Source organism: Homo sapiens, chromosome 4, assembly GCF_000001405.40.
Source record: "Homo sapiens chromosome 4, GRCh38.p14 Primary Assembly".
Lineage (NCBI taxonomy): Eukaryota > Metazoa > Chordata > Mammalia > Primates > Hominidae > Homo > Homo sapiens.
In genome coordinates, this window is record NC_000004.12 from 49506708 (window position 1) to 49525774 (window position 19067).

The 19067-nt window shown below is 47.1% G+C and overlaps 1 pseudogene, besides 5 other annotated features; it reads left to right on the forward strand.

Moving 5' to 3' along the window:
• Nucleotides 3284-3784: an enhancer, noted in NCBI's record as "H3K27ac hESC enhancer chr4:49512008-49512508 (GRCh37/hg19 assembly coordinates)". NCBI's record gives its function as "activates a minimal SCP1, AML or CMV promoter by ChIP-STARR-seq in primed H9 embryonic stem cells {active_cell/tissue: H9 hESC(primed)}" and the evidence as "EXISTENCE:reporter gene assay evidence [ECO:0000049][PMID:30033119]".
• Nucleotides 3785-4285: an enhancer, noted in NCBI's record as "H3K27ac hESC enhancer chr4:49512509-49513009 (GRCh37/hg19 assembly coordinates)". NCBI's record gives its function as "activates a minimal SCP1, AML or CMV promoter by ChIP-STARR-seq in primed H9 embryonic stem cells {active_cell/tissue: H9 hESC(primed)}" and the evidence as "EXISTENCE:reporter gene assay evidence [ECO:0000049][PMID:30033119]".
• Nucleotides 7586-8086: an enhancer, noted in NCBI's record as "H3K27ac hESC enhancer chr4:49516310-49516810 (GRCh37/hg19 assembly coordinates)". NCBI's record gives its function as "activates a minimal SCP1, AML or CMV promoter by ChIP-STARR-seq in naive and primed H9 embryonic stem cells {active_cell/tissue: H9 hESC(naive and primed)}" and the evidence as "EXISTENCE:reporter gene assay evidence [ECO:0000049][PMID:30033119]".
• Nucleotides 8087-8587: an enhancer, noted in NCBI's record as "H3K27ac hESC enhancer chr4:49516811-49517311 (GRCh37/hg19 assembly coordinates)". NCBI's record gives its function as "activates a minimal SCP1, AML or CMV promoter by ChIP-STARR-seq in naive and primed H9 embryonic stem cells {active_cell/tissue: H9 hESC(naive and primed)}" and the evidence as "EXISTENCE:reporter gene assay evidence [ECO:0000049][PMID:30033119]".
• LOC107986214 (translation initiation factor IF-2-like) lies at nt 9339-18046 on the forward strand (annotated as a pseudogene).
• Nucleotides 17141-17657: an enhancer, noted in NCBI's record as "H3K27ac-H3K4me1 hESC enhancer chr4:49525865-49526381 (GRCh37/hg19 assembly coordinates)". NCBI's record gives its function as "activates a minimal SCP1, AML or CMV promoter by ChIP-STARR-seq in naive H9 embryonic stem cells {active_cell/tissue: H9 hESC(naive)}" and the evidence as "EXISTENCE:reporter gene assay evidence [ECO:0000049][PMID:30033119]".
• Nucleotides 18047-19067: the final 1021 nt, after the last annotated feature.

Genomic DNA, 19067 nt, shown 5'->3' on the forward strand with positions numbered 1-19067 from the left:
TTATCTACTTTAGCCCCATTATCTACTGAAAATGGGAGTCAAACCAACCAAGACATATGAAATGTTTCATCCAGAGCTCTTGAGGTGGCATTCCCTAGCATTTCACGGCACCAAATAACATGATACAATTCCATATTGCTGAATTACATAAATTACCAGATAAATTTATCAAATTAGTCAGATATATTAAAAGTCTAACTTGAGCAAAGCAATTTAACACCTCAGAGGGTGGGAAAAGGCCTCATCTGCTTTTACTTTGAAAGAAGAAAATCTCTAGATTTTTGTCTATCTTTAGAACACAATGTACAGAACTCAACTTTCTACTAAAGAGTCAAAGGCTAAATTTTTAGCTAAGAAATTATGCTTCTTTCTTACATGATAAAAATCATACATGCCAAAACTTACCATACTTTATTAAACAACATAATGTAAGGTCTGATTCAACAGAAATATTGGAGTGGTGATTTTTTAAAATATGTGGATGTATATATTTGTTTTCAAAATATTGGAAATAACCATGATGGAACTATAAATTCAAACAGTTTGAGCTAAGCAGATAAACTGGCGTGCATGAAAACACATTAAACAGACTCATTTGGCTGGGAATATTCATTGCAACTCTCAAGGCTAGACGTGTTTTTGTGGCTCATCTCAGTCATTGCTTCCCTCTCATTGTATTCCCATTCTATCATCAAATAAATGTAATTCATCTCTAGATGAATACAGAAAAAAGAATCTAGAATCTAAAGCTTATTTCTTTAGCAATTTCTTTATGTTGATCTGGTTCAGAAGGTCACATGGTATATGGCTGAATTAGTTTCCCAGCTCATATGCCACTTGGAAGACTGAGAGTGAGACTTAGGTTGATTAATGAAGAAACATTATGAGAACATTCTCCAGAACCTTTGTTTAGATAGCAGAACTAATCTACTTTGACACATAATTACACATTTAGAAAACCCCGCTGTAACTGTACACATGAGATTTTCTTGAATAGAAAATTTGACTAAATCAAATAATTGATAAAGAGAAAAAAGAAGCAGCAAGTGAACCTCTGTCTTTTTGAAGTTGGACTTTCTCTTTCTCCAAAGCCAGGAACTCTACTTGTAACATGCCTACCTCATTCTTTTTACTATTATTATACTTTAAGTTCTGGTACATGTGCACAATGTGCAAGTTTGTTACATATGTATACATGTGCTATGTTAGTGACCTTGGAATATCTTGCTGTAAGTCTTCTAGCTATATTTTTGATGTTCTCTCACTATGTGGCAAAGAATAACCCGCATTTTATAATTCAAGATTGATGGTTTTGTAGTTATTAACACTGGGATTGTCATACAGCGGCTTCTGGAATAAGCACTATGTTGGTTTTCTGTTTTTATAAGTATCTGTAGCAGCAGAAATACTGTGACTTTCTATCTGAATCATATGCTTCATTTCTTTGGGGTGGGTAAACAACAAATCAAAAAGACTTTCTGGATCTCTAGACTGAGACCAATGCCTAATGTCTAATTTCCAATTAGTAGTATTTGGGTTTATATATTTTTCCATTTGCATGTCAAACTCTTAATCATCTTTCATTTCAATCATAATTACTGGGTTCCTTACATTTTCAGTTTCTATATCATAACAAAAATTTCCATCATCTGTGTTAGAAACAAGCTGTGTGTCTTGTTTGTTATCATTTTTATAGTCTGATTTATTTTAATTTAAATGAAGCTTAGAAGATGACTGGTAAGTGTATTTCAGGGACCTAGAGTGTGAATCGAATAAAAAGACATTTGACATGGGCTTCCTCTGTTCAGGCGCTGCCTGGACTGCCACAGAGCTAGACCCTCCAGATACATTTTTCTCCTCACAATCAGGGACATGATTCATCAGACTAGAGGGCACTCCTTTTTTGTTCATCCCTCTTTAGAGTTACCATGTAGGAGCTCTTCCTCAGGGCAAGCAGTGATTTTGGAGTTTTCAGAACTTTTACCAATATTCAGCTTGAACTTGTTTGTAATGAATATTAAAGAAAGTCATGAATATATAGATTGATTCCCTTTATCACTGTTCTTACCCAGTTCTGGTTCTTGAGACTTTTTTTTTGGGGGGGGGGGGGCAGGTGCAAAATGGAAAACAAATTTGCTTGTTTTGTTTCTCAGATGTCTTTTCTGTCAGAGTGCATGTTTTAAAATTAGCTTTAATCAAGTATAAACAAAGTAATATTAGAAAATAGTTAAAATTTAACTGTGAAACTTAATCTATGTGTTGCTACTCTTAAATTATGGGATTGTGACTAAAAAGTGAAAAATAATTTGCCTTGGCTTAACATAGGACAGAAACATGAACCAGCAAGCTGAACTCTCAGTGTCTGTTTGGACTAAACTTAATGCATTTGTGTAAAATCTACCAGAAATGAATTCAAAGATGATAGGTAGTATTATAAAAGCTCCCTCTCTTACAAAGACTTTACCTCAGCATACCAGAAAGAGTAAGCCCCTACAGTGCATGTTTATTTCTGAAGATTAACTAGAGCACTAGGCAAACACTAAATTATTAAGAGCTAAACTGAACACCAATAAGAAAGAGAATCAAAATTTTAAATTCTAATTCAAATGATATACTATGATAGTGTTATGTATCTAGATAGAATTTCTGCTTATATCCACTTTTAATATATTTTAAGTTCCGGTAGTGATAGGGTTTGGATTTTTTAAATTTTAGTAATGTTTACTATGTATTTATGTTGAAATAAAGTTATTGTTCACACCCTGACACCAAAGGTCCCATTCTGCAAGGTAGGATTCTCTTAATAGGCAACTGCATTGACTTTTATGACCCCATTCACTCCCTGAACACAGACACAGAAGTCAACTGGTGACCACAAAACAGAATAAATCTTTAACCTCGGCACTGGTGACCAGCAATATAAAACTGCAACATTTGAAGCACTGGCAATGATGACTCCTTTAACACTAGTTTAACTCAGTGGCCATTGTTGTTAAACTGTTCATAATTTCTATTCCTCAGTAATATGACCCAATACTTCATGTTACCTTGTGTATTATGAGTAAGGTTATATAAATAAAACAGCAAGATAATTCTGAAAATTTCTTGCCTCAATTCCAAGGGTAAAGACAGCTATGAGTTACTAGAGATACTAAGAATTACTAGAATAACTAATAGTTACTCGAGATAGTAAGAATATCTTAAGTTTCATAACTGGTTATGATGTTTTAAAAATTACATATAAAATTATGATCTATTGGATTCTAAAGGTATAGTCTGAAAGGTCATGTCATTTGGACTATGCTTTGTTAGTAAAGCAAAAAAAAAAACCTAATATTAAACAAGAACTTAAATTTTCATATACCTGTGATTGCTTCTTTTCACTTTTCCCCCATTAAAAGTCATGAATTGAGTGGCTTTTAGTATACCTGTGGTTGTGCACATTCAATTTTAATTCGCAATCCATTGTAGAACGTCTTATCACCCCCGACCAGAGAAAAACCCTGTAGACATTAGTCACTCCTCATTCTGTCTCAAACCCTCTCCCTGACCCTCAGCCCTAGGTAGCAACTACCTAGTGCGATCAACCCCATATGCATAGATTTCCATATTGTGGACATTTCCTATAAACGGAATTGCACAATAGGTGAGCTGTTATGACTGACATAACACGTAGCACAATATTTTCAAGATTCATCCACACTGTAGGCTTACCCACAGGGGGAAACCATATTTTTTGGGGGTTTTAGTAACACCGGGTGTTTCCTCCTTCCGTTCGTCCTTCTTTGCTTCCTTCCTTCCTTCCTTCTTTCCTTCCTTCCTTCCTTCCTACCTTCCTTCTTTCCTTCCTTCCTTCCTTCCTCCTATTTCTCTCTTACTCCTTCTGCCCTCTCTCTTTCATATGCCTTAGGTGCATCCCACATTCTGCGTTTTTTTGGGGAAATCCTCGACAGGTGCAGGAAACTTGTGTTATTGTAACTATGTACCGCTATCTCTCTTTCACGGCTCTCCATCAGTTGTGAACATCTATTGGTTTATCCCAAGTCACTAAGCACATTTTTATTAGGTACACCTGTTTTTCCTTATACAGCTGTTTCTGGAGTATAGGGTCGCATACTCATAAACCCAGTGTAACTCAGAAACGCATCTAATATTCCAGTAAACCCATCATAACGTTGAAAAATCATGAATCAAACCATCATAAGTCTCGGCTTGTCCGTGGATATGGGTGTCATCAATTCCAGTGTATACAGTAATGCTGTACACCATTAACAATGGCAGACTGATTGGGAGTGCCTACTGATAGCATTATAAAAGTCAGTTATTAGAGGGATACTTCTTTAACCTGACTGAAGAACTGATCTAATGGCTTTAGTACAGTGCATGATTATGTGAGATGTTTTGAGACAGAGTAGTACATTTGTGAATGAAATTTTATGGCTTTTTTCACTTAGTAGGAACCATTGTGTGTGGAAAAGTGAGAAAATTGCTTTCTGCTGTAGAGTCTGGCATTCATTGTAGATTTAAGCTTATTTTTCTGTGAGCAAATCTTATTCAATAAAATACTACTCTTTATACTAAAAAACAAATCAGTGGTGATGTGTGGTCATTATCCTCAGCAAACTAATCCAGGGAAAGAAAACCAAACGCCACATTCTCACTTATAATGGGAGCTGAAAAATGAGATCACATGGACACAGGAAGGGGAACAACACACACTGGGGCCTTTCGGGAGGCAGAGCGTTAAGAAAAACAGCTCCTGCATGCTGGGCTTAATACCTAGGTGATGGGTTGACAGGTGCAGCAAACCACCATGGCACACGTTTACCTTAGTAACAAATCTGCCCATCCTGCACGTATACCCCAGCACTTAGAAACGAAACGAAACAAAAGAAAACGAAAAAGCAATAGCAAAACGCTAAAGGCAAAATAAAGTTTCCAACTCCGAAAGTGACAGACCAATGTTTGGTTCAAATCATGGTTCTCAACCCAGGTGCCATAAGGTCAGGATAAAGAATTTGATTACATATTGTAAATAGGACATGCGGCAAATGACCAGAAAGATTATTCTCAACATATGTGTGTCTTCTAATTCAATGGTGACGCTATCTACCGGGACATAGCATTAGATTCCAAAGGGCCGAGTCCCGCCAGACAGGCCTCCCACACTAATAACAATGGGAAGCCCTACTTTGTTTCACCTGTGCTTCTCAGCAACTTGCTATAAATCAGGTTGCCACCACTCCCAGATTTAGTTGCATTCATTTGCTGGAAGAGCTCACAGCACTCAGGGAAACACTCACATTTGCCGTTGTATTTTAGCGGACATTGCAAAAAGCTCAGAAATAAATGTGGGGCCCGGCATGTGGGGAGGGGCGCACTACCTTCCAGGAAGTGTTATCCAGAAGCTCCCTGAACCCAGTCCTTTTGGGTTTTTATGGAGACCTCATTCTATAGGCATGATGGGTTAAACCATAGGCTATTGGTGATCAACTCCACCTGAGGCTGTCAACCCTCCCTGGAAATTGGGATTGAGGCTTTGCCATTCTCAGTCTGACTAAAACAATTTACCCAAACGGAATTTTAAAACACATGAGCACAACTGGAATCTTAATTAGATGATTGGATTATCTGGAACCACACCTTGATATTCCGAACCCGAGCACCCTCATCCAACGAATGCTCCACCCAACTGGCTCCCAAGACTCCACGTGGTTCCGGAGCAAAAGAATGTTTATACAACGCATATCTCCACCCTTTCTTCAAAGTCTTTTCGCTTACACGGAAAGACTTCTTAAACTGCCATGCATCAGGGTCAGGGGGAGGTCTTGTTACAACACAGATCTGTGGATCTCCGGGGTTTGATTGTGGCAAGGATGCTGCTGGTGTCAAAACCACAACGTGGGAACCACAGAACCACTAGTTGGTTTTCAGTGTTTCAGTGCATACAATTCCTAATATATCTGGCCAAGAAAACTTGGAAGTTGTTAGATTGTCCAAAAGGTGGCGCATGAAATCAAAGCAGGAGAACAGTTTCCTACGAGGTGTAGCCTGGGAAAGTTGGGGGTGACTGACGGAAAGGAGGGGTGAAGCTCCGCCCTTTCCGCTGCTAGGCTGCGCCCGAGGGTATTTAAACCCACCCTGGCTGGCCTGTACTCAGATCTTCGCGGAGCGGATCAGCGGCCGGAGCGTTTGGCGGACTCTGCGTGGACTTGGAGCTCACGGCGTCTTGCGACTTGGAAGCGGATTCAGAGGACAGGACAGAACACTTGGGCAAGTGAATCTCTGTCTGTCTGTCTGTCTGTCTGTCTGTCTGTCTGTGTGTCTGTCTCATTGGTTGGTTGATTTCCATTTTCTTAAGGGGCACATACCTCACACCGCACACACACAGACACACACACGCACACACACGCACACACTCACACCCACGCACACACACTCCTTCCTTCTGCGAGTTAGAAAATTAGTAGGGGCCCCTGGGAGCTGCAGGTTTCCTAATCATGTCTGCACCTAAGAACAGTAGGGTCTTGTCTGGCTCTTCTTATGAACGGTCCCCCAGCCCGGACTCCCCAAGGTCCATGCGAGCCTCACCCAGCTTCTCCCTCTCCCCTCTCAGAAGCTCAGGCTTAAGGGGAAGCTCCTCACCAGGGATCCGGAGCTGCCATTCACCATCCCCTAGGGCTTCACCACACTCACCTCTGTCATCACCAGAATCCCACAAGCTCGCATTTCCCTGTCCTCACCGTGATGGGCAATCAATGAAGCCATCGGGCTCTCCCGTGTCCTCCTCTGAGGATTCCTCAGAGTCCCCACGTTCATCAATAATATACCACATGTTCTTACTGCCATCACCCAGCAGCTCACCCCCAGCTCTCGGGGGGTCTCCTGTGTCTCCCAGCTACTCTCCAAACAACCCCAGATTTCAGCTGGAGTCAGCCCCCCACACCCAGGAATCACCTACAAACTCACGGGCCTCACGGTGCTCCACCCCTGTGTCTTTCGTCTCTTCACCCCCAGGCCTCAGGGACTCTCCTGTGGCTCCCAGTTACTCTCCAGCCATCCCCAGGTTCCTGCGGGAGTCAGCCCCATGCACCCAGGAGTCCCCCAGAGACTCACAGGTCTCGGGAGAATATGAGCGGTCCCCCAGCCCTGACTCCTCAAGATTCATGCCTGCCTCACCCAGCTTCTCCCTCTCCCCTCCCAGAAACTCAGACCCAACGGGCAGCTCCTCACCAGGGATGTGGAAGTACTCTACATCATCCCGCAGGGCTTCACCACTCTCACATCCATCATCAACAGAATTCCACAGCTTTACGTTTCCCTTTCCTAACCAAGCAGGACAGTCACTCATGTCATTGTGTTCTCCCGTGTCCTCCTCTGGAGATTCTTCACAGTCACCTCATTCATCAATAATATACCATATGTTCTTACTGCCATCATCCAGCAGCTCACCCCCAGCCACCCATGACTCTCCTGTCTGTCCCAGCTACTCTCCAACCACGCCCAGATTTCCGCGGCAGTCTGTACCCCACACCCCAGAAACACCTACAAACTCACAGACCTCAGTGAGATCCTGGGCAGTCTCTCTCACGTCTTCACCCCCAGCCCTTACGGACCCTCCAGTCTGTCCCAGCTACTCTCCAACCACGCCCACATTTCAGCGCGGGTCAGTTCCAGGAACCCAGGGATCACCGCCAAGCCCACCACTTTCACTGAGTTACTCCCCAGTCTCTAGCACGTCTTTATCTCCAACCCTCAGGGACTCGCCTGTCTGTCCCAGCTACTCTCCAAACACGCCCACACTTCAGCGGGAGTCCATTGCAGGCACCCAGAAATCACCACCAAACTCACCAATTTCACTACGTTACTCCCCAGTCTCTCTCATGTCTTCACCATCACTCAGGGACTCTCCCGTCCGTCCCAGCTACTCTCCAACCACGCCCACATTGCAGCTGGAGTCAGTTCCAGGCACCCCGGAATCACCACCAAACTCACCAATTTCACTCAGTTACTCCTCAGTCTCTAGCACGTCTTTATCTCCAACCCTCAGGGACTCTCCTGTGTGTCCCAGCTACTCTCCATCCACGCCCACACTTCAGCGGGAGTCAGTTCCAGGCACCCAGGAATCACCACCAAACTCACCAATTTCACTCAATTACTCTCCAGTCTCTCTCATGTCTTCACCAGCCCTCAGGGACTCTCCCGTCTGTCCCAGCTACTCTCCAACCACGCCCACATTGCAGCTGGAGTCAGTTCCAGGCACCCCGGAGTCACCACCAAACTCAAAAGTTTCACTCAGTTACTCCCCGGTCTCTCTCATGTCTTCACCCCCAGCCCTCAGGGACTCTCCTGTGTGTCCCAGCTACTCTCCAACCATGCCCAGATTTCAGCGTGAGTCAGTTCCAGGCACCCAGGTATCACCTACAAACTCAGCAGTTTCACTGAGTTACTCCCCAGTCTCTCTCATGTCTTCACCCCCAGCCCCCTGGGACCCTCCAGTCTGTCCCAGCTACTCTCCAACCACACCCGCATTTCAGCGGGAGTCAGTTCCAGGAACCCAGGGATCACCGCCAAGCCCACCACTTTCACTGAGTTACTCCCCAGTCTCTAGCCCCTCTTTATCTCGAACCCTCAGGGACTCGCCTGTCTGTCCCAGCTACTCCCCCACCACGCCCAGATTTCAGTGGGAGTCAGCCTCCCACACTACAGAATCACCTACGGACTCACAGACTTCACTGACGTCCTCCCTGGTCTCTCTCAGGTCTTTGCCCTCAGCCCACAGGGACTCTTGTGTCTCTTTCAGCTACTCTCAAACTTCTGTAGATTCTAGCTGGAGTCAGTTCCAGGCACCCACGATACACCACCGAACTCACGAATTTCACTGACTTACTCCCCAGTCTCCCTCATGTGCTCACCCCCAGCCCTCAGGGACTCTTCTGTCTCTCTCAGCTACTCTGCAACCATCTCCAGATTTCACCTGGAGTCAGCTTCCCGCACCCAGGAATCACCTACAAACTCACGGACCTTACTGCAACCCTCCCTCATTTCTTTCACCTCTTCACCCCCTGCCTTCAGGGACTCTCCTGGGTCTCCCAGCTTCTCTCCAGCCTTCCCCAGATTTCTGCCACAGTCAGCCCCTGGCACCCAGGACAACCCTAGACACTCACAGGCCACACGAGACTATCTCCCTATGACCTGTACCTATACAGGGATGGCTCCCACGCATCCCTCAGTGACCCCAAACCCATCTCCACTTACACTCAGACACTCCCAGGGCCTGACAGCTACTCCCCGTTATTGTCCTTCAGTTCGAATCCCTGGCCAGTCTACTAGCCCACATGACGCAGTTACCTGGTCATTACTCCACGGTTCCCGTGAGGGCTCCACACCAAGCCGCACAAGAGCCGCTCCTGCATTCCGTCCTCACACGCAGGCCTGTCCATCTACTTGCTACTGTCACACTCTTGCCAGCAGAAGAGGCCCCTGTCATGGCCGATATTACCACCCAGTCTATCCTCACCCCACAGCTCTGCAGCGGGGACCTCCTGCTGGCCCACATGGCTGCCAGAGCCCATGCTGGCATGACGCTCCAGCAGGTCGGCGTCCCTGCGGGACACACTACCGGTGACGTGGCTAGCATCACCCTCCTTCCTGGCGGTGACACTGTTGATGTGAACCCCAGTTTCACATCTGTCATTTTAAATAGGACCATTTTCCCTTTTCGCTCTCCCTTCCATTCACAGGGCTTTTCATTCTCTCTGTTTCTGCCTCCGTTTCAGGTATTTACTCACCTTTTTCTCTCTCACTATGTCTGCCGTGGTCTCCATGAGAGTGCGCCACTTAAGATTCCCCCATTAAAAGTCATGAATTGAGTGGCTTTTAGTATACCTGTGGTTGTGCACATTCAATTTTAATTCGCAATCCATTGTAGAACGTCTTATCACCCCCGACCAGGGAAAAACCCAGTAGACATTAGTCACTCCTCATTCTGTTTCAAACCCTCAGGGCCTGATGGGAAGGCACTTTCGTCTGTGGGGAACCCATGCCCTGCTTCTCCGTTGCGCGGTTTTTTTTTTCCTACCATAGATGCCTCTCCTCTCATTCCTCAAATCTCACCTTCCCCTCATGTGCCTTCTGTCTGCCTTGGGGTACACCTAGCCGCCCGAGGTGCACTGTGGGATCGAACCAGGGACTCCAGGGTCCCTGAGGCCCAGCCCAAGGCCTGATGGGAAGACACTTTCGTCCGTGTGGAGGACCCAGTCCCCGCTTCTCCGCGGCTGGATTTTTTTTTCTCTGCCCCAGGTACCTCACCTTCCCCTCTTGTGCCTTCTGCACGCTTTGGGGTACCCCTAGCGGCCCAAGGCACACCCTGGGCTCGAACCATGTAAGCCAGGTTCCACAGGGTCAAGCGCAGTGGCTGATGATAAGACACGTTCTTCCTCGGGGACCCAGGCTCTGCTTCTTTGTGGCGTTTTTTTTCTTTTCTTTTCCCCAGGTGCCTCACTTTCCCGTCATGGGCTTTCTGCCCGCCCTGAGGTACCCCTTGCCGGCCCGAGGCGCACCCTTGTTTTGAGCCAGGGATGCTAGGGTCTCCGGGGCCCAGTGTAGGGCTTATGGGTAGGGACGTTCGTCCATGGGGAACCCAGGCCCCACTTCTGGGGGGCGCAGTTTTCTATTTTGTTCTCTGCCCCAGGTGTCTCACCTTTCCCTCATGGGCCTTCTGTCTGTCTTGGGGTACCCCTAGCGGCCTGAAGCGCACCCTGGTCTCAAACCAGGAATGCCAGGGTCCCCTGTGCCCAGCGCAAGGGCTGATGGGAAGACCCTTTCGTCCGTTGGGGACCCAGGCTCCGCTTCTTCGTGGTGCAGTTTTTTTTTTCTGCCACAGGTGCCTCACCTCTCCTTCCTCAAACCTCAACTGCCCCTCATGGGATTTCTGCCCCCCTTGTGGTACCCCTAGCAGGCCCGAGGTGCACCCGGAGCTCGAACCGGGGTCTCCAGCGTCCACAGGGCCCAGCGCAGGGACTGATGGGAAGGCATTTTCATCCTTGGGGTACCCAGGCCCAGCTTCTCCTAGGCGTGGCTTGTTTTTTTTTTTTTTTTTCTGCCACAGGTTCCTCACCTCTCCTCCCTCAAATGTCAACTTCCCATCATGGGCTTTCTGCTCTACTTGGGGTACCCCTAGCAGCCCAAGGCTCTCCCTGGACTCGAACCATGGATGCCATGGATGCTGGGGCCTAGCGCAGGGGCTGATGGGAAGGTACCTTCATCGGTGCGTATCCAGGCCCCGCTTCTCAAAGCTGCGGATTTTTTTCTCCGCCCCTGGTGCCTCACCTTCCCCTCACTGGCCTTCTGCCTGCTTTGGGGTACCACGAGCAGGCCCGAGTTGGGAAGGCACTTTCATCAGTGGGGACCCAGGCCCGGCTTCTCCGAGGTGCTGATATATATATATATATATATATATATTTTTTTTTTTTTTTTTTTTTTTTTTTTTTTTCTGCCACAGGTGACTCACCTCTCCTCCCTTAAATCTCGCCTTCCCCTCATGGGCTTTCTGGCTTCCTTAGGGTACCCTAGCATGCCGGAGTCTCTTCTGGTCCTTGAACTAGGGTCGCCAGAGTCCAGGGGGCCCAGCGCAGGGGCTGATGAGAAGGCACTTTCGTCCGTGGGAGACCCAGGCCCCGCTTCTCTTCCCCACGGTTATTTTTTTTTCTGCCGCAGGTGCCACACCTCTCTTCCCTCAAACCTCACCTTCCCCTCATGGGCCTTCTGCCCATTTTGGGGTACACCTAGCGGGCCCGAGGTGCACCCAGGCCTAGAACCAGGGTCGCCTGGGTCCACGGGGCCCAGCTCAGGGACTGATGGGAAGGCACTTTTTTTCCATGGGAGACCCAGGCCCCACTTTTCCGTGGCGCGGTTTCTTTTTCTTTTCTGCCACAAGTGCCTCACCTCTCCTCCCTCACAGCTCACCTTCCTCTCATGGACTTTCCACCGCGTTGGGGTATCCCTAGTGGCCCGAGACTCTCCCTGAGCTCCAACCAGGGACTCTAGGTTCCCCGGGGCCCCACGCAGGGGCTGATGGGAAGGCACTTTCATACGTGGGGTACCCAGGCCCCACCTTTCCGCGGTGCGGGTTTCTTTTTTTTCTTTTTCTGTGACAGGTGCCTCACCTCTCCTCCCTCAAAACTCACCTTCCCCTCACGGGTTTTGTGTCCCCAAAGCCCCCTTGGGGTGCACTTAGCGGCCGAGGCACACCCTGAGCTCGAACGAGGGACACCAGGGTCCCTGGGTCCCAGTGCAGGGACTGATGGGAAGACACTTTCGTCTGTGGGGCACCCAGGCCGTGTTTCTCCGCGGTGAAGTTTTTTTTTTTCTCTGCCCTAGGTGCCTCACCTTCCCCTTAGGGGTTTTCTGCCCACCTTGGGGTACCCCTACTGTCCCGAGGCATACCCCAGGGTCAAACCAGGGACGCCAGGGTCCCCAGGTCCCAGCGAAGGGGCTGATGGGATGGCACTTTCATCCGTGGGGGACCCAGGCACTGCTTCTCGGCTGAGCATTTTTTTTTCTCTGCCTCAGGTGCCTCACCTTCCCCTCATGGACCTTTTCTTTGCTTTGTGGTACCCCAAGCTGTCCCGAGGCTCACCCTGGGCTCGAACCAGGGTCGCCAGGGTCCACCAGGCCCAGCATAGGGCCTGATGGGAAGGCACTTTCATCCGTGGGGGACCCAGGCCCCGCTTCTCTGAGACGCGGTCCTCTTTTTTTATTTTTTCTGCCCCTGGTGCCTCACCTCTCCTCCCACAAACTTCAACTTCCACTCATGGGCCTTCTGTCCAAGTTGGGGTGCCCCTAGTCGCCTGAGGCACACCCCGGGCGTGAACCAGGGATGCCAGGGTCCCTGGGGCCCAGCGCAAGGGCTGATGGGAAAAAACTTTCGTCCCTGGATGACCCAGACACTGCTTCGCGGCGCATTTTTTTTTCTTCTTTGCCCCAGGTGTCTCACCTTCCCCTCATGGGCCTTCTGCCTCTCTGCGCCTGCGCCGGCGCTGTGGGCCTCTCTGCGCCTGCGCCGGCGCTGTGGGCCTCTCTGCACCTGCCCCGGCGCTGTGGGCCTCTCTGCGCCTTTCGCCGGCGCTGTGCGCCTTTGCGAGGGCGGAGCTGCGTTCTTCCCAGCACAGCCAAGGAGAGCATCGCCAGGGCGGAGCTGAGTTCTCCTCTGCACAGACTTCAGATATACAGCGAAGGCGGAGCAGTGTTCTCCTCAGCACAGACCCAGGCGGGCCGGGGGCACCGCGAGGGCGGAGCTGCGTTCTGCTCAGCACAGACCCGGGGGACACCGCTAAGGCAGAGCAGCGTTCTCCTCAGCACAGACCTTTGGGGCACTGCCTCGCTTTGGGACAACTCGGGACCGCATAGACGGTGAATAAAATCCTTCCCTTTTGCAGCCCTGAATAATCAGGGCCAGAGACCAGTTAGAAGGGCTCAGTGTGGAAAAGGGAAACCAAAAGCCCCTCTGAATCCTGCCAACCGAGGTTCTCCCCAGCCAAGCCGAGGCGGCCACAGTGCGAGATCCACACCGCAGCTTCGGAAGACAAATGCAGCATTCCTAATGCAGACATGACACCCAAATTATGACACTCCCATTGCTCATGTAACAAGCACCTGTAATGCTAATGCACTGCCTCAATACAAAAATATTAATATAAGATCCGCAATCCCCTTGCTGCCATGCAGTCCTAAGACAGAGATCATAATAATCAACATTGACATAGTACAAACGTAGTAACGAACCTAGGGTTAAGGTTGGTGTTAGGGTTAGGGGTTAGGGGTTAAGTTTAGGGTTGGGGTTGGAGATAGGGGTTGGGGTCAGAGTTAAGAGTTAAGAGTCAACGTTTAGAGTTAGAGGTTAAGAGAGGTTAGGGGTTAGGGATAAGGGGTTAGGGTTGGATTAGTGTGAGGGTGAGGGTTGTGGCTAGGGGTTAGGCTTAGGGGTTACGGTTAAGGGTTAGGGTTAGGGTCAGGGGTTAGGGGTCAGGGTCAGGGGTTAGGGATCAGGGTCATGGGTCAGGGTCAGTTTCAGGGGTCCCACTCTTTGAGTTGTCCATTTACTCTGCTGACTGTTCCCTTTGCCATGCAAAAGCTGTTTAGTTTAATTAAGTCCCAGCTATTTATCTTTGTTTTTATTTCATTTGAATTTGGGTACTTGGTCATGAAATCCTTGCGTACGTCAATGTCTAGAAGGGTTTATCCAGTGTTATCTTCTAGAATTTTTATAGTTCAGGAATTAAAGTTCTTAATCCATCTTGAGTAGATTTTTGTATAAGATGAGAGATGAGAATCCAGTTTTATTCCCCTACATGTGCCTCGCCAATTATCCCGACATCATGTGTTGAAAAGGGGGTCCTTTCCCCACTTTATGTTTTTGTTTACTTTGTCGAAGATCAGTTGGCTGTAAGTATTTGGGTTAATTTCTGGGTTCTCTCTTCTGTTCCATTGGTCTATGTTCCTATTTTTAAACCAGTACGTTGGTGTTTTGGTAACTATGGCCTTACTGTACAGTTTGAAATCAAGTAGTGTGATACCTCCAGGTTCTTTTTGCTTAGGCTTGGTTTGGTTACATGGCTCTCTTTTGGTTCCATATTAATTTTAGAATTGTTTTTGTAATTCTGTGAATAATGATGGTGGCATTCAGATGGGGATTGCATTGAATTTGTAGATTGCCTTTAACAGAATGGTAATTTTCACAATATTGGTTCTACCCATCCATGAGCATGGGGATGCATTTCCATTTGTTTGTGTCATCTATGACTTCTTTTCTTTCTTTTTTTTTTTTTTTTTTCAGAGGGAGTTTCGCTCTTGTCACTGAGGTGGGAGTGCAATGGTGTGATCTCGGCTCACTACAACTTCTGCCTCCCGGGTTCAAGCGATTCTCCTGCCTCAGCTTCCCGAGTAGCTCGGATTATAGGCATGTGCCACCGTGCTTGGCTCCATCTATGATTTCTTTCAGTAGCGTTTTGTAATTTTCATTGTAGCGGTCCTTTGATTCCTTTGCTAGGTATATTCCTAAGTTTTGTTTTTTTGTTGTTGTTGTTTGTCGCAGCTATTGTAAAAGGGGTTGAGTTCTTGATGTGATTCTCTGCTTGGTAGCTGTTGATGTATGGAAGAGCTACTGATTTGTGTCCATTAATCTTGTATCTGGAAACTTTGCTGAATTCTTTTATCAGTTCTAGGAGGTTTCTAGAGGAGTCCGTAGGGTTTTCTAGGCAAAAGATTATATCATCAGCAACAAGTGACAGTTTGACTTCCTCTTTACCGATTTGGATTTCCTCTATTTCCTTCTTTTGTCTGATTGCTCTGGCTAGGATTTCCAGTACTATGTTGAAGAGGAGTGGTGAGAGTAGGCTCCTCGTCTTGTTCCAGTTCTCAAAGGGAATGCTTTCACCGTTTCCCCATTCAGTATTATGTTGGCTGTGGGTTTCTCATAGATGGCTTTTATTACATTAAGGTATGTCCCTTGTATGCTTATTTTGCTGAGAGCTTTAATCATAAAGCAATGCTAGATTTTGTCAAATGTTTTTTCTGCACCTGTTGATATAATCATATTAGATTTTTTTAATTCTGTTTATTTGGTGTATCACACTTATTGACTTGCATATGTGAAACCACTCCTATATCATTGGTATAAAACCCACTTGATCATGGTGGATTATTTTTTGATATGTTGTCGGATTCAGTTAGATAGTATTTTGTTAAGGATTTTGGCATCTGCGTTCATCAAAGATATTGGTCTGTAGTTTTCTTTTTTGGTTATGTCCTTCCATGGTTTTGGTATTAGGGTGATGCTGGCTTCATAGAATGAATAAGGGAGGGTTTCTTCTTTCTCTGTCTTGTGGAATAGTATGAAAAGATTGGTATCATTTCTTCCTTGAATGAAAGAAGACATTCTTTGAATGTCTGGTAGATTTCTGCTGTGAATCTGTCTGGCCCTCAGCTTTTTTTGCTGGTAATTTTAAAATTACCATTTCAATCTTGCTGCTTGCTTTATTGGTCTGCTTAGGGTATCTAATTCTTCCTGATTTAAGCTAGGAGAGTTGTATTTTTCCAGGAATTTATCCAACTCTTCTAGGTTTTGTAGTTTATGTGCCAAAAGGTGTTCACAGTACCCTTGAATAATCTTTAATATTTCAGTGGTGTCAGTTGTAATATCCCCTGTTTCATTTCTTAGTGAGGTTATTTGGATTTTCTCTCTTCTTTTCTTGGTTAATCTTGCTAATGGTCTATCAATTTTATTTATCTTTTCAAATAACCAACTTTTTCTTTTATTTATGTTTTGTATTTGTTGTTGTTGTTGTTGTGTCAATTTCATTTAGTTCTGCTCTGATCTTTGTTATTTCCTGTGTTTGCTGGGATTGGGTTTGGCTTATTCCTGCTTCTCTAGTTCCCTGAGATGTGAACTTAGATTGTCTGTTTGTGCTCTTTCAGACTTTTTGATGTAGGTTTTTAGGACTACAAACTTTGCTCTTAGCAGTGCCTTTGCTGTATCCCAGAGGTCTTGATAGGTTGTGTCATCCAGTTCGAAGAAATTTTTTACATTTCCATCTTGATTTCATTTTTCACCCAATGCTCATTCTGTGAGGAACAACCAAATTGTTTTCCGCAGCAAGGGCATCATTTTCTATTCCTAACAGCCAGATCATGAGGGCTCCAACTTCTCCACCTCCTTAGCAACATTTATTTTCTGTGTCATTGTTATGAAAGCCTTACTTGTGGGTGCAGAGTGGCATGAATGTAGTCAATTAACACGTTTATTACCTCACAGAATCGTCACCTTTTTGTGTGCATGGGTGGGATAAGAAAACTTAACTCTATCCCCTGTGACGGAATAGTGGCCATTCCAACTGCTCCAGGCTCCAGCAGAGGAAGACCGGGGTATGTGGCCCCACCAGGGTGACCCTCAGGCCTGGCGCGCACGCATTCCAGAGGCCACCCAAACCATGCTCCGCCATCTGGGCGCCCAAGCTGCCGTCGCCCTCTGTGTGCAGGCAGCAGCTGCCTGGCAACCCCTGAGCCCGCTCGCACTCCTAGCATCACAGAAGCAGGGCCACGTGTCCCAGTGGCTGCAGCCAAGCCAGGCATTCTGCCCTGCGGCAGCAGCTGCACAGGAGCGAGAACTGAGAACCCACCGCTCAACCCCACACGAGGTGACTGCCGAGTGCCCATACAAACGGCTCCGATCTCCCTCAGGTGGAGGAGTGGTCGGGAGGCACGGCCTGGGGGCCCTCAGGCTGGGCGCGCTGGCAATCCCAAGGCCGACCAGGCCATGCACTTCCAGCCCGCCTGGGCACCCGAGCTTCAGCCGCCTTCTGCGTGCAGGCAGCAGCCTCCAGGCAACTCCCGAGCTCGCCCACACTAACCACATCTCGGAAGCAGGGCCAAATGTCCCTGTGGCTGTGGCCAAGCCAGGCGGTCTGTCCTGCAGCAGCTGCACAGGGGCGGGAACCGGCCCTCAGCCCCATCCCCGGTGGCTGCAGAGGGCCCCTGGATAGAGATCTGGAGCTCTGACAGAGGAGGAGCCAGGCCGGGGCAGGGTCTGGCAGTCTCTCAGGCCAGGGGCACCCGCGATCCAGAGGCGGCCCAGGGCATGCTCCACCACCTGGGCACACAGCTTCAGGCGCCGGGCGACTCCCAAGCTGGCTGGCGCGCCCAGCCTCGCAGAACTGGGGCTAGATGTCGCCGTGGCTGCGACCAAACCAGGCGGTCTGCCCAGGGGCGGCTGCACCGGGACAGGAACCGACCCTCAGCCCCATCCCCGGTGGCTGCAGACGGCCCCTGGGGCGGCCCCGATCTCTCTTCGGAGGAGGAGAGGGGCAGGAGTCACGGCCAGGCGGGCCCTCAGGCGGGAAGGAATGTGCGCCTGCGATTCCGGGACGTCCTGCACCAGCCCAGGAGAACCCGCAAGCCAGCGGCGCCTGTTTCTCTGTGTGATTCTTTGAGGAACCACCAAACTGTTTTCCACAGCAAGTGCATCATTTTCTATTCCTAGCAGCCAGTTCATGAGGGCTCCAGTTTCTCCACCTCCTTAGCAGCATTGATTTTCTGTGTCGTTGTTATGAAAGCCTTACTAGTGGATGCAAAGTGGCATCTCATTTGGGTTTTGCCTTGCATTTTATTAATGAATAATGGTGTTTAGCATCTTTTCTTTTCCTTCTTAGACATTTGTGTATCTTCTTTGGAGAAATGTCTGTTCAAGTCCTTTGTCTATTTTTTTAATTGGGATCTTAGAAATTCTGTTGTTGAGTTGTGGGATATTAAGCTTTTATCAGATACACATTTTGATTTTATCAGATACATATTTTCTCACATATTATGGGTTGTCTTTTCACTCCCTTGATAGTGTCCTTTGATGCATAAAGGGTTTTTTATTTTGATTAAATCTAATTTTCGTGTATTTTCTTTTGTTATCTGTGATTTTCTGTCATATTTCAAAATACACTTAAAACTCAAAGGTCATAAAGGTTTACCGTGTGTTTTCTTCTAAGAGTTACATATTTTTAGTCCTTACATTTAAGTCTTTTATTAATTTAGAATTAATTTTTGTATATACTGCAAGGTAGGGGTCTAACTTCTCTCTTGTGCACTGACATCCAACTGTTGAAGAGACTGTTCTTTCCTCCCTTGACTAGACTTGGCCACCTTGTTGAACAGTCATTGACCATATATGTGAGGACTAACTTGTAGGATCTCAAATCTGTTCTATTGTATTTGTCTGAAAGTCTATTGGTCTTATTCCAGTACCACACTCTCTTGATTACTGTAGATTTGTAGTAGGCTGTGAAACTGAAAAATGTAAGTTTTCCAATGTTCTTTTTCAAGACTCTTTTGTCTGTCAGATCCTTTGAATTTTTGTATGATTTTAGAATGAGTTTCTTTGTTTCTGCAAAAATGCCTTTGGGATTTTGATGGTATTGCATTGAATCTGTAGATTACTTTAGATGGTATTGTCATCTTAACAATATTGTCTTACAACCCGTGAACACAGAATGTCTTTCCACTTATTTCCACTCTCTTTAGTT